At 43.7% G+C, this 13,582-nt stretch overlaps 1 protein-coding gene across 18 annotated transcripts in view; it reads left to right on the top strand.

The window, feature by feature from the left end:
* The window catches only part of CERS5 (ceramide synthase 5), a 38,081-nt gene extending 24,980 nt beyond the window's left edge, over positions 1–13,101 (top strand). For 3 of the 18 annotated variants that reach the window (NM_001331071.3, NM_001331073.3, NM_001331069.3), the window contains 8 exons: positions 280–337; positions 3,773–3,823; positions 4,570–4,662; positions 6,321–6,449; positions 6,552–6,658; positions 7,688–7,844; positions 9,326–9,428; positions 11,696–13,101. In NM_001331071.3, coding sequence (NP_001318000.1) covers positions 280–337; positions 3,773–3,823; positions 4,570–4,662; positions 6,321–6,449; positions 6,552–6,658; positions 7,688–7,844; positions 9,326–9,428; positions 11,696–11,709 — 712 coding nt within the window. In that variant the 3' untranslated portion in view covers positions 11,710–13,101. Of the gene's footprint in view, positions 1–279; positions 338–3,772; positions 3,824–4,569; positions 4,663–6,320; positions 6,450–6,551; positions 6,659–6,773; positions 7,061–7,687; positions 7,991–8,321; positions 9,429–11,695 lie in introns of those variants that run through there. The other 15 variants (NM_147190.5, NM_001331072.3, NM_001281731.2 and 12 more) reach the window with 9 other exon arrangements.
* Positions 13,102–13,582: the final 481 nt, after the last annotated feature.

Below are 13,582 nucleotides of genomic sequence, written 5' to 3'. Positions count from 1 at the left end.
GTAGAGACAAGGTTTCACTATGTTGGCTAGGATAGTCTCGATCTCTTGACCTGGTGATGCACCTGCCTCGGCCTCCCAAAGTGCTGGGATTACAGGTGTGAGCCACCACTCCTGGCCCCTGTCTTTGGCTTTTTAAATGACAGTAGTTGCCTATTCTAGGAATTGATCCTCTTTCTCACCAGTAACTCTTATCCCCAAATTTGCTATCTTGACTTCCGTAGCCTCAGAGGCTTTGGTTTGAGTGGACATTTGTCTAACCTTTACTCTTTGCCCACCCAGGTGGAGATTCACATTTTATTTATGTATATTCTGCTATGGAATTAGATTTCTCTGGTCGGTGAGTCTTAACTTTCTCTAGTCCTCTGTTGGGTTCTAATCATGCCTAGATCTCTAGAAGTAAGAGTTAAATACCTTTAGATTTTTTTCTTTTCTTTTTTTTTTTTTTTTTTTGAGACGGAGTCTTGCTCTGTCACCCAAGCTGGAGTGCAGTTGTGGAATCTCAGCTCACTTGCAACCTCTGCCTGTTGGGTTCAAGAGATTCTCTTGCCTCAGCCTCCCGAGTAGCTGGGACTACAGGTGCACATCACCATACCTGGCTAATTTTTGTATTTTTAGTAGAGACGGGGTTTCACCATGTTGGCCAGGCTGGTCTTGAACTCCTGACCTCAGGTGATCCACCCGCCTTGGCCTCCCAAAGTGCCAGGATTTCAGGCATGAGCCACTGAGCCTGGCCTAAATACCTTTAGATCTTTATATTTCCCCCAACTTTTCCTCTGTGATGCCCACAGCCCAGGTTTATATCCTAATAGATTGTCTTCTGTCTGGGGCCTGACTTCAGTAACTTTATAACTTTACTGCTTCTCCCCTAGAAGATACTAATAATACTAGTAATAACTAAATCAGCATAATACTTAATGGTTTACAAAGCACTTGACAAAAATTGAAGGAGGAGAAATGGAATAAACCCTTTAAAGTGGGTGAAACAGGTATTATTCCTACTTTTTAGTTAATTGTCAGAATCAAAGAAGAATTTCAGGGGGCCAGGCACAGTGGCTCACACCTGTAATTTTAACACTTTGGGAGGCCAAGATGGGCAGATCATTTGAACCCAGGAGTTCAAGACCAACCTGGGCAACATGGTGAAACCCCGTCTCTACAAAAAGCTACAAAAATTAGCCTGGCGTGGTGGCGTGCACCTGTAGTCCCAGCTACTCAAGAGGCTAAGGTAGGAGAATCGCTTGAGCCCAGGAGGTCAAGGTTGCAGTGAGCCGTGATGGAGCCGCTACATTCCAACCTGGGTGACAGAGCAAGACTCTGCCTCAGAAAAAGAAGGAAGAAGAATTTTAGGCTTTTTGATTCTTTAGTTCATGTTTTTTTCCCCATACCATACTGTTTCTCTCTAAATGATATCATTGTGTTTTCAAAATATTATAGACAAAAAGCTGGCAGAACTAAAGGAAGAGAATAGACAAATATACAGTTGTATTTGAAGATTTTAATACTTTTCTCTCAGTAATTGACCTAAACCCTAGGCAAAAAAAAAAAAAAAATCACTAAGGGTGTAAAAGATATGAATGACATGATCAACCAGTTTTACCTTATTGACATTTATAAAACACTACACCAACAGCTGAAGAATACATATAATTTTCAAGTGCATGTAGAAAGATAAACTAATGCTGGGCCATAAAATAAGTCTCAGTAAATTTCAAAATATTGAAATCTTAAAGAATGTGTTCTCTGACCATAACGGAATTAAATTACAAGTCAATTGTAATGAGAGACATGGAAAACATTTGGAATTCGCCTGCATGAGGTTGCTCACACCTGTAATCCTAGCACTCTGGGAGGCTGAGGCAGGCAGGTTGCCTGAGTTCAGGAGTTCAAGACCAGCCTGGGCAACAGGGCAAAACTCTATCTCTACTAAAAATACAAAAAATTAGCCGGGCATGGTGGCACGTGCCTATAATCCCAACTGCTGGGGAGGCTGAGGCACGAGAATCGCTTGAACCTTGGAGGCAGAGGTTGCAATGAGCCAAAATCATGCCACTTCACTCCAGCCTGGGTCTCTGTCTGTCTCAAAAAAAAAAAAAAAAAAAAAAAAATTTGGAAGTTAAACAACTCTTCTCAATAACCTGTGGATCAAATAAAAAATCACAAGAGAAGAAAATATTTTTAATTGAATCATGCTAAAAATCATATCAAAATTTCTGGGATACAGATAAAACATACTTAGAGGGAAATTTATAGCTTTAAATGTTTATATTACAAAAGGTTTAAAGTTGATCTAAATTTCTGCTTTAGGTTCTTGAAAAAGATAAGCAAAATAGGTTAAAGTAAGGAAATAATAAAAAATAAGCAGAAATTGGCCAGGCGTGGTGGCTCACCCCTGTACTCCCCTCACTTTGAGGCTAAGGTAGGAGGATCACTTAAGCCCAGGAGTTCGAGATCAGCTTGGGCAAGATGGCGAGATCCAGTCTCTATAGTGAGACCCCATTTCTAAAAAATGATAATAAAGTAAGTAAGTGGAAATTAATGTAATAGGCATTAGAAAAACAATGGATACATTTGTGGGGTTTTTGTTTGTTTGTTTGTCTGAGACAGAGTCTCACTCTGTCTCCCAGGCTGGAGTGCAGTGGTACAATCTCGGCTCACTGCAACCTCTGCCTCCTGGGTTCAAGTGATTGTCCTGCCTCAGCCTTCCTAGTAGCTGGGACTACAGGAATACGCCACCAGGCCCAGCTAATTTTTGTATTTTTGGTAGAGACAGATTTTCATCATGTTGCCGGGCTAATCTTGAACTCCTAACCTCAGGTGATCCTCCCACCTCGACCTCCCAAAGTGCTGGGATTACAGGCGTGAGCCACCACGCCTGGCCTGTTTTGTTTTGTTTTGTTTTGTTTTTTAAAGACAGGGTCTTACTCTGTCACCCAGGCTGAAGTGCAGTTGCGTGATCACAGCTCACTGCAGCCTCAACTTCCCAGGCTCAGGCAATGCTACCACCTCAGCCTCCCAGGAAACTTGGGACTACAGGCATGTGCACAACCACACCGGGCTAATTTTTGTATTTTTTGTAGAGATGGGGTTTTACTCTGTTGCCCAAGTTGGTCTTGAACTCCTGGGCTCAAGCAATCCACCCACCTCACCCTCCCAAAGTGCTAGGATTAACAGGTGTGAGCTACTGTGCCTGGCCATGGATAAAATTAATAAAGCCAAAAGTTCATTCTTTGAAAGGTTTGATTAAAATTGACCAACTCCAACAAAAAAAGGAAATATGAATTATCAATATGGAAAGGGTTATCACTACAGATCCTATAGTCATTGAAAGGATAATAAGACAGTATTATGAACAATTTAATGATAAGAAATCCAGCAGCAAAGATGATGTAGACAAACTCCTTAAAGGACATAATCATTATTCCATTAGAGATGATTACTTTTGACTTCTGAACATGGCATGGAGATATCTTTCTTGGTTATCAAATGAATCATTGTCTTCCTGTATATATATTCCAGGTAGTGATATTTCCTAAAACTAGCCTAAAGCTCTCACTGTTCTTATTTACCTCAAAGCATTGTTTTTCTATTTATAACATTCTGTTGTAGAAGAACAGTCTAGCTATTTATTGATCCTTTAGGGAGCCCTAAAATCTGTTTGGGGGCTTTTCTGTCCTCTTTTGCCCCAGCCTAGAGAGAAGGGGATTATATGAGGTAGATCTTGAAGCCAGGTGAGAATCTTGAGGACTGACATGGATTATCTGTTTTCTCTTAGTCACCTTGGTTCTGGGACATCCGACAGTGCTGGCATAACTATCCATTTCAGGTAGGATCTGAGTCGTTTCAGGATAGGGGTCTTGAATGTGTATAAGGTGGAGTGAGTGAGGGTCCTTTGCCAGTCCCCAGGACAGATGGTGCGTTTCCTTGGGATTGAGGGATTAGGGACTGAGTCCCTTTAAGTCATATTCAGGGTATCTATTTTTTTTTCCCCCCCACTGCTAAGAGTCATATGAGGTATCTATTCCTGAGGCCCCCATAGCAATGAAATCCAATGAGTTTTTTGTTCTGATTTTCCCCATTTAATTCCCCCTAATTGGGCTAAAAGAAAAGCAAGTTTCTGGTATTTAATGAGGTACTTTCTGGTTCAGGTGTCTTTTTTGTATCAAGGGTAACTTGGAATCCCAGTAGAGCATCTTGGTTGTAACCTATACTGGAAATATGTCTAGGAACTGCTAAAGGGGTGGAAGAGAAGGCCTATGTGTATTTAATCCTGTGAAAAGCACTAATTGCCCAGAATCCTAGACATACTGATTTGATTGTGTTACAGTATGTGTTAACTGTATCTCATCTCTGCAAGATGAGAGCTGAAGATGTGTGTGCAGAGGAGCAAGGGAAGAGGCTTAAGTCTCTACACCAATCCAAAGTCTGTTAGCTATTGCATATCTTGGCAGATAATGGGGAGGAGAGATGTCTAATAATTTGGGGTATTGGTCCTCCAAGGCAGAGAAAGTTGGAGAGATGGAATGCACCTTTGACTAGCCGGTAATCTAACTACTTCTTTCTCTCTTCCAGCCTCTTTCAAGTGGGCTTTATCACTATTATATCATGGAATTGGCCTTCTATTGGTCCCTTATGTTTTCTCAGTTTACAGACATTAAAAGAAAGGTAAGGACGTTGGCTCCCTCAATTCCCCAACTTATTACATCCTCCTTTCTAGCAGCTTCCATGACTGCCATTACGATGTATTATCTTCCCTGAGACTGCAAAAGGAGAAACTGGGTTTGATGGACTCTTAGCTTGTCGTAATGTTCCCAGAAATGAGACTGAATTAATGATGAAGTATATTTAAGACATTCAGGGAAGCCCCAGGATGAGAACAATTAACCAGCTAAGAAGCATACTTTTTTCCATATTCTTCTTTAAGCTTCTTACATATCTAAAGCTCAGGAAACTAGTCAGAATTGGGGGATAGCAATGCCTTATTCAGAAAAAATGTCTGATTCCAGAAAAGCTGGATATGGCTTTCACATGGCATTAGGGACCCTTGCTCTCTCTGTTCTCCCTTTCTGGTTACCCCACTTACTCAAAGAAAGTCAATTGGAAGGGGTTTTGCTCTCTTCCTGCTATTGTTTAGGAAGCAAAGATTGAGAGAAGTGAGCTGACTTGCCCAGATAGTGACAGAGTTGGAAATGACTTAAGTTTTACACAACTTAAGTCATTTAAAGGCAGAATCTTTACCTTTTTATTAGTGTCTACCTGAAATAATGTGGTTCTAGCAGCTCTAACCCTAATCTGTCACTAACTCAGGGTTATCTTTGATGAAGAAAACCAGGGTTAGCATTTATGGGAATGAATTAAAACTTACCCAGGTTGTTAGTGTTATCTAACATAGAAACTTGATACTCAATTTTTATGCCTTTTACTCTCCTATGGTCAGAAGACACAGGTCACTTTATTAAAATTTTATTTTAATTGTGATACATATAAGAAAGTTTGAAATACATATTTAAGTTTTAAAAATAATAAACTGAGAAGTATTTAATAGATGTGTCTGATAACTCAAGTATTTAGAGACTTCCCCAGGTCTAACTTGACATTTGAACCCAAGAGGAAATTAGAGCCACAAACCTCTCCCTTCCATTAGGTCCTTGTGGTTGACGTTTCTCTCATTAAAGCAGAAGAGTCATAGAATCTCAGGGAACTCTAAGGCTTGTATGTCTTACTGGGATGTTATCCCCAAGTGTCAGCTTAGCATCCATGCTATACGTATTCTGCAGTTACCAAAGGAAATTTTTACTTTCTGGCCTCTGAGCTGCATTAACATAGAGTATGGGTCAGTCACTGATGTAGGGAGTGTTCAGTTAAATGCTAGGTAGCCAAGGGAGAGTCTAAGCAGAATGGAAACTTTTTTTTTTTTTTTGAGACGGAATCTCAGTCTGTCGCCCAGGCTGGAGTGCAGTGGCGCGATCTCAGCTCACTGCAACCTCTACCTCCCAGGTTTGAGCAATTCTCCTGCCTCAGCCTCCCGAGTAGCTGGGATTACAGGCACATGCCACCAAGCCCGGCTTATTTTTGTATTTTTAGTAGAGACGGGGCTTCCCCATGTTGGCCAGGCTGGTCTCGAACTCCTGACCTCAGGTGATCCGACCACCTTGCCCTCCCAAAGTGCTGGGATTACAGGCATGAGCCACCTCGCCCGGCCAATGGAAACTATTCTATATGGGGTGGGGTAAGATTCTTAGAGAATAATGCAGGACGTTGGGTTGGCTGGTGTTTCTAGGGCCCAGCTTTTACCTCCCTCTTCTATTTCCATTCCTTCCTAGGACTTCCTGATCATGTTTGTGCATCACTTGGTCACCATTGGGCTTATCTCCTTCTCCTACATCAACAATATGGTTCGAGTGGGAACTCTGATCATGTGTCTACATGATGTCTCAGACTTCTTGCTGGAGGTAAAAACCCAATCTCTCTTTCTCCATCTTCTTCTTCTCTTCTTTTCTTCCTATGTGAGGAATGACTTTCTCCCCAGCTCAATTCTTTCTTCCTTTCTCCAGGCAGCCAAACTGGCCAATTATGCCAAGTATCAGCGGCTCTGTGACACCCTTTTTGTGATCTTCAGTGCTGTTTTTATGGTTACACGACTAGGAATCTATCCATTCTGGTAAGTGGTAGGGCTGTAGAGTTGTGGTAGGTATGAGCCTAATGATACCTTTTTGCCAATTCTCATTTTGCCCATTCAGTTTTTCTGTTCTATTCTATTCTACTTTCGCCAATAGAACACAAGAACCCTATTGCCCTGCTTTTACCTTAGCCTGTGCTGACCTTCTGTGGACTCTCATAGGACCTCTGCTGCCTCAGACCGTATTTCTAGCAAGGTCGGATCCAGACTCAGAGTACCCGGCTTGGTTGGCTTCTCAGGACTGACTCATCTCTGAGGAACAGTCCTCATTTTATGCCTAAGTAATTCCTTTGACTTCTTTTGCACTGTTGATACAATTCTCAGTCCCTTCTTGCTTGTGTTCCTGCTCTGGTCCCAACCCTGACACACACACACACACACACACACACACACACACACACACACTCCTCTCTCTCTCTTCCTCCCTCTCCTCTCTCTCCCTCCCTCCCCTCTCTCCCTCCCTCCTCTCTCTCTCCCTCCCTGTCCTCCTCTCTCTCCCTCCCTCTCCTCTCTCTCTCTTCCTCCCTCTCCTCTCTCTCCCTCCCTCCCCTCTCTCTCCCTCCCTCCTCTCTCTCTCCCTCCCTCTCCTCTCTCTCCCTCCCTCCCTCTCCTCTCTCTCCCTGTCTCCTTTCACTTTTACATTCACTGCTCTATGGGAATCAGCTACCTACTGTCCTATCCTATATGTGCCTGAGGAGCTCAGTCATTCATAGGATTAGAGTCCCACTGCTGTCCTAATTTCGTGAAACTCTGGATATTTGAAGTGATTAATAATGTGACTTAATCCATCAGTTCCTAAGATTTATATATCTTTCTCTGTCCCTAAGGATAGAAAACACAACAGGCTCCTCCCTTTCTTTATTTTCTTACTGTGGATGACGGTCCCTGGAACTTCAGCTGATAAAAGGGCTGGTAGGAAAACACACAGGGCTCTGCATCCCCAGGACTCAGCTTCATCCCTGTCTGCTGAGCTTTGACTCTAGAATCTGACTATTGGCCTCCCTCTTCTAGGATTCTGAACACGACCCTCTTTGAGAGTTGGGAGATAATCGGGCCTTATGCTTCATGGTGGCTCCTCAATGGCCTGCTGCTGACCCTACAGCTTCTGCATGTCATCTGGTCCTACCTAATTGCACGGATTGCTTTGAAAGCCTTGATCAGGGGAAAGGTGAGGATGAAAGATGGCTTCTTTCTTTTGGGTATGGAAGATAGGGATTACTCAACAGACGTTCTCTCTCCATCAAACCTGGTGAGCCCCATCTACTCAAGCAGGCCAAGCAAAAAGCCTAGGGCTCCAAAGTCTTCGCCTCTTCGGTAAGTGTTTTGCCTTTTTTATTTTAGAGACAAGGTCTTGCTCTGTCACCCAGGCTGGAGTTCAGTGGCATGATCATAGCTTACTGCAGCCTCACACCTGGGCTTGGATTCTCCCACTGCAGCCTCCCAAGTAGCTGGGACTATAGGTGTGCACCACCACGCCTGGCTAATTTTCTTATTTTTTGTAGATAGGGTGTCACTATGTTACCCAGGCCAATGTCCAACTACTGGCCTCAAGCAGTCCTCCCACCACGGCTTCCCAAAGCGATGGAATTACAGGTGTGAGCCACCACACCAAGCCTGTTTTACCTTTTTTTTTTTTTTTTTTCAGATGGAATCTCGCTCTGTTGCCCAGGCTGGAGTGCAATGTCACGATCTTGGCTCACCACAACCTCCACCTCCTGGGTTCAAGCGATTCTCCTGCCTCAGCCTCCCTAGTAGCTGGGATTACAGGCGCATGCCACCAGGCCTGGCTAATTTTTGTATTCTTAGTAGAAACGGGGTTTCACTATGTTGGCCAGGCTGGTCTCTAACTCCCGACCTTGTGATCTGCCCACCTTGGCCTCCCGAAGTGCTGGGATTACAGGCGTGAGCCACCGCACCTGGCCTGCCTGTTTTACCTTTTAAGATGTGACTTAGACGCAAGAGGAAAGTTCTACCTTCTTCCTGTCCCTTAGGAATGGCTTTTGTTAAAGGATGATAGGGTTAAGAGTTTTTTAAGAGATGGCCTCAACCATTTCCTACCCCTTACCTACCTGCTTCAGTGGATTTCATATTTTTCTTTTTGACATGGGGCCCTTTTCAAAGGAAATCATATGCAGAACCATATAAACTGTATAAAAGCAGATTGTTAAGTTGCCTAGAAGTGGTGTGTGGTAGTTCACAAGCCACCACAAGGTGACCATGCTGTGATATTCAAGATATGGTTTATATAAGGAACTAAATACCCACCTCACCCCACTAGTGTATGAGGCAAGTGTCCTAAGTGAATGGGTATGTAGTGTTTCAAATACCCATCTTATGCCAAGAGCGAAAGAAAGGTGCCACTTAATGATAAACTCATAATTGAACTTTGCAAGTTTTGAAGCAGTCAGACTGTAGTCAAAGGGCTAGGGATTTCAGCCTAAAGGAATACAGAATCCCAAGTGGGAGGGGCTCTGCTTGAGCAGGTACTGATACTAGGACCAAGTGATGGAATGTGGCCTAGATATTGATGATCTCCTGCATCATTATTCCTTATAGCTGCCATTGGCTCAGAACTTGCTCAGTGTGCCTGTGCATCTTGCTGTAGCTACTGGACATCTCTGTTCTCTCCTGCTTTTCTTTCCTGACTAGGTGACCTGTCCAGGAAGGATTAGACCCTGTACTCTCCACTCTTTCCTCACCTCCTTCCTTTTTTCTATGCCTGGCGGGAGCTGGACAGTTTCATCTCTTGCATGTAAGTGTATCTGTGCTTCTAGTATTCAGTGAGGCATGTCCATCTGAATGTGGTTCTCTTTCCTCCTGCTCTCCTTTCTGTTCCCTTGTGTTTGTCTCAGAGCATGCCCTCTCTCCTGACTTTTCGGGGCCATTATTGACTAGAGCTGCAGTTGCCAGATTTTTTCCTAAACTGAGGCAAGAATTGAGTCTACTTTTTTTTGTTTTTCTTGAGTCTCTGTTTACCTCAAATCTAGAGACACTCTGCCCTCTAGTGGAAATTTCCTAAAGGTCAGGTAATCAGTTAGTCATCTAAGTTCAGAGGCCAACAGCTATAATCAACTGTAGAAGACCCATCCAACACAAATTCAAGGAGCTGATCCAAAGCAAATGCCCACCTCCTTGGCAACAGTTGTTACAGCTGTGTTCCTTTTCACTTCCTTCTCTCCTTTACTTAAACCACATTTATTATCCTTCAGTTCTGGAGGTCAGAAGTCCGACACAGGTCTCACTGGATTTCTGTTCTTTACTATTAGAGTCCAGGGTAATTTTTTTTTTTTAATTTTTATTTATTTATTTTTGAGACAGAGTTTAGCTCTTGTTGCCCAGGCTGGAGTGCAATGGCGTGATCTTGGCTCACTGCAACCTCTGCCTGCCCAGTTCAAGCGAGTCTCCTGCCTCAGCCTCCTGAGTAGCTGGGATTACAGGCATACGCCACCACGCCTGGCTAATTTTTTTGTATTTTTAGTAGAGACGGGGTTTCTTCATGTTGGTCTGGCTGGTCTCGAACTCCCGACCTCAGGTGATGCGCCCACTTCAGCCTCCCAAAGTGCTGGGATTACAGGCGTAAGCCACCATGCTCGGCCCTTTTTTTTTTTAGAGACAAGGTTTTGCTCCATTGCCCAGGCTGGAGTACAGTGGCGCAATCATGGCTCACTGCAGCCTCGACCTCCTGGGCTCAAGAGATGCTCCTGCCTCAGCCTCCCAAGTAGCTAGGACTACAGGTGCATGTCACCATGCCCAACTGATTTTGTCATTTTTTATTTTTTGTAGAGACAGGGCTCTCTCCATGTTGCCCAGGCTGGTCTCAAACTCTTGGGCTCAAGCTGTCCTCCTCCCTCAGCCTCCCAAAGTGCTAGGATTATAGGTGTAAGCCACTGTGCCTGGCTCATGGTGGAGAAATTGAAATACTTTGCTTGATATGCAGGATAGTTTAGATTAGGAAATGCTGCTGTAATCCAAATGCTTCATTTGAAAATAATACAAAACAAAAAAACCCAGGTTAATAAGCATTCACAGATGGTAGCATGATTAGAACTGGGATTCTTTTCTCATTGACTGCCAATCCATTTGTGTTTTCACTATACTGTGTATCTTGGGGATGCTGAAGTTTCTTTTTTTTTTTCTTTTTTTTTTTTTTTTTTTGAGATGGAGTCTCACTCTGTCGCCCACGCTGGAGTGCAGTGGCACGATCTCAGCTCACTGCAACCTCCACCTCCGGGGTTCAAGAGATTCTCCTGCCTCAGCCTCCTGAGTAGCTGGGATTACAGGTGCGCGCCACCACACCCGGCTAATTTTTGTATTTTTAGTAGAGACAGGGTTTCTCCATGTTGCTCAGGCTGGTCTCAAACTCCTGACCTTGTGATCCGCCTGCCTCGGCCTCCCAAAGTGCTGGGATTACAGGCGTGAGCCACCACGCCCAGCCAGGGATGCTGAAGTTTCATAAGAAAAGTGATCTTGCTATTGGGAAAGGGAAGAAGATTGGAAAACAGTGTCATAGGATAGTGGTAGTTGAGCCCAGGAGTGGGAAACTACTAAAAAAGGCCTGTTATGGATCAGCTTTGGGGATAAAGCAAAACAGCATAACCAATACGAATAAATGCATTGTCCACAACCACCAGAAGATAGAAGCATTGCTGACAGTCATACGTATTGTTCGTGTTGGCCTTCCCTGTTCTTTGAAGTGGAAGAAGAGAAAGGGTGTCTGAAACCTAAACCAGGTCTCAGTGAATGATGTCAGTTCTCTTAGGCTGGTCCTGAAAGACACACTCCTCTACCAAAGTAGCTTCAATTCCACAGAGAACAGAATTGGAGATGACAAGGGAGAAAACTAGAAAGCAGGTAAAGCATAGTCACAACAGTAGCCATAGTCCAGACAATACTTCTTTGAGTTAGATGTCATCAGAAAGCAGACCAGACTGGGAACACAGTGCCCACACCTGGGTCTCTGAGCTTAGGTGTCTTACAGTTCTTTCCTCACTTTTCTGTCTTTGGTCTCATCCCACCCAGGTATCGAAGGATGATCGCAGTGATGTGGAGAGCAGCTCAGAGGAAGAAGATGTGACCACCTGCACAAAAAGTCCCTGTGACAGTAGCTCCAGCAATGGTGCCAATCGGGTGAATGGTCACATGGGAGGCAGCTACTGGGCTGAAGAGTAAGGTGGTTGCTATAGGGACTTCAGCACACATGGACTTGTAGGGCCACTGGCAACATACTCCTCTTGGCCCTTCCCATATCTACTCTTCTGTGATTGGGAGACTGCAAGGCACTGAGGAGTATCAAAGAAGCAAATATTTTCACTTTGAAAGAAAACTGCCATTTTGTATTTAATAGCCTCCAGGTTCTTTCAGTAATGTTATTTGCTCTGTGTGTTTTTGTGTGTTTGTTGATGTGCGTTTGTGCATATGCGTGAGTTTCATTGCCGGGGTTGGGGCACAATTGTGGACTGGGGCCATGAGGCCTTCCCTGGTCCCCACTGAACCCACCTTAGTTCCACATTTGGCTGCATCTTGAATTATGCCAACTCCAGACTTCTCCTTCTTTTTTGCCCTTGGCTCTTGACACTCTAAACCCCTGGACCATCTGAATGGAGCAGCCAAGTTCAGTCCCACATTTCTGTACTGTTCCTCTTTCACAGCTGGAATATGTCACATGATGAAGTTGTATAGAAACAGAACCATGGATGGATGGCCAGGATTGCCGTGGTCCCTAGCTAGATCCCCTTCCTATCAATCACCTGATAGCAACAGGGACAGCTGCCAATACCCTGCTCTTTACTCAATGGTACCCAGGGAGGGAGCATGGGAAGAGGGTGAGCTGAGGGCTGGAGGAGGGCAACAGCCACTGGGTGAGCTGTTCACGGTCTTATACTATTGTTTGTTTGTGATTAAAAGTGCTTCAACCCACCTCTACTGTCTCAACCTCTTCAGTGACTCTATCCGCAGTTTCCTGAATCCATAAGCTAATTAAGAGCTTTTCCAGGTCTGATTCAGAAGGCCCTGGACACCAAATTTTTCCTTTCTGTGCATGGTAGGAAGAGTCAGCCAGGGTGCTTACATTTTAGAGCTTTATGTTTTTTAAGAAAAAGAAGAATCACTTGAACCTGGGAGGCAGAGGTTGCAGCGAGCCAAGATCGTGCCACTGCACTCCAGCCTGGGCGACAGACCGAGACTCTGTCTAAAAAAAAAAAAAAAAAAAAAAATTAGGTCATACTTTTAGTTCCTCAACTTGCTATATTGAATAGACTAATATTGTTGTGAAATATGAATGAATATGCTTTTGAAAGTCAGATGAGAAATGTATTTTGCCTTCTGAAATTTGAACAATTGCCTTGTTAATACAAACTGGATTGGTTGGTGTAGCTAATCTGACAAAAGATGCAATTGGATAAAACAATAATAAAAATAATAACTAACACATGACTCATTACATGCTAGGCACTGTATTAAACACATATGACAACAGGAGGCAAAAAGAGGTTAACTTGCTAAGGTCAAGCAGCTAGTAAGGAGTCAAACCCTTACTATTCCTATCTTATTTACCATCCCTCTCTATTCCTAACCACCGTACTATCTATACCATAATCTAATTAACCGCTCTGCAGTGTCTACCAGCACTTCCCAAGATTTCATGAGGAAGATTAGATGTTGCAGAAACATTCAGCGAAAGGCACAGACTGATTATATTAGTTTGCATTGGATAAATGAATTATTAAGATGAGGGCCAACTATCAGAACAGAATCTTGTTCTGAGAAGGAACTGTGTGCATATGGTTGGGGTGGAGGTGACAGGTAGGGTTCTAGAGAGTTTGAATACAGAGCTAGAAGATAACCGTTATTGGTGCTGCAAGACTGTCATAAAACCAGTTTTGTAGATGGCCTGGAGGGACCCAAATT

This window comes from Homo sapiens, chromosome 12 (genome assembly GCF_000001405.40).
Source record: "Homo sapiens chromosome 12, GRCh38.p14 Primary Assembly".
Classification (NCBI taxonomy): Eukaryota; Metazoa; Chordata; class Mammalia; order Primates; family Hominidae; genus Homo; species Homo sapiens.
The sequence above is the reverse complement of the archived record's forward strand: the minus strand, read 5'-3'. Positions and strand labels throughout refer to the sequence as shown.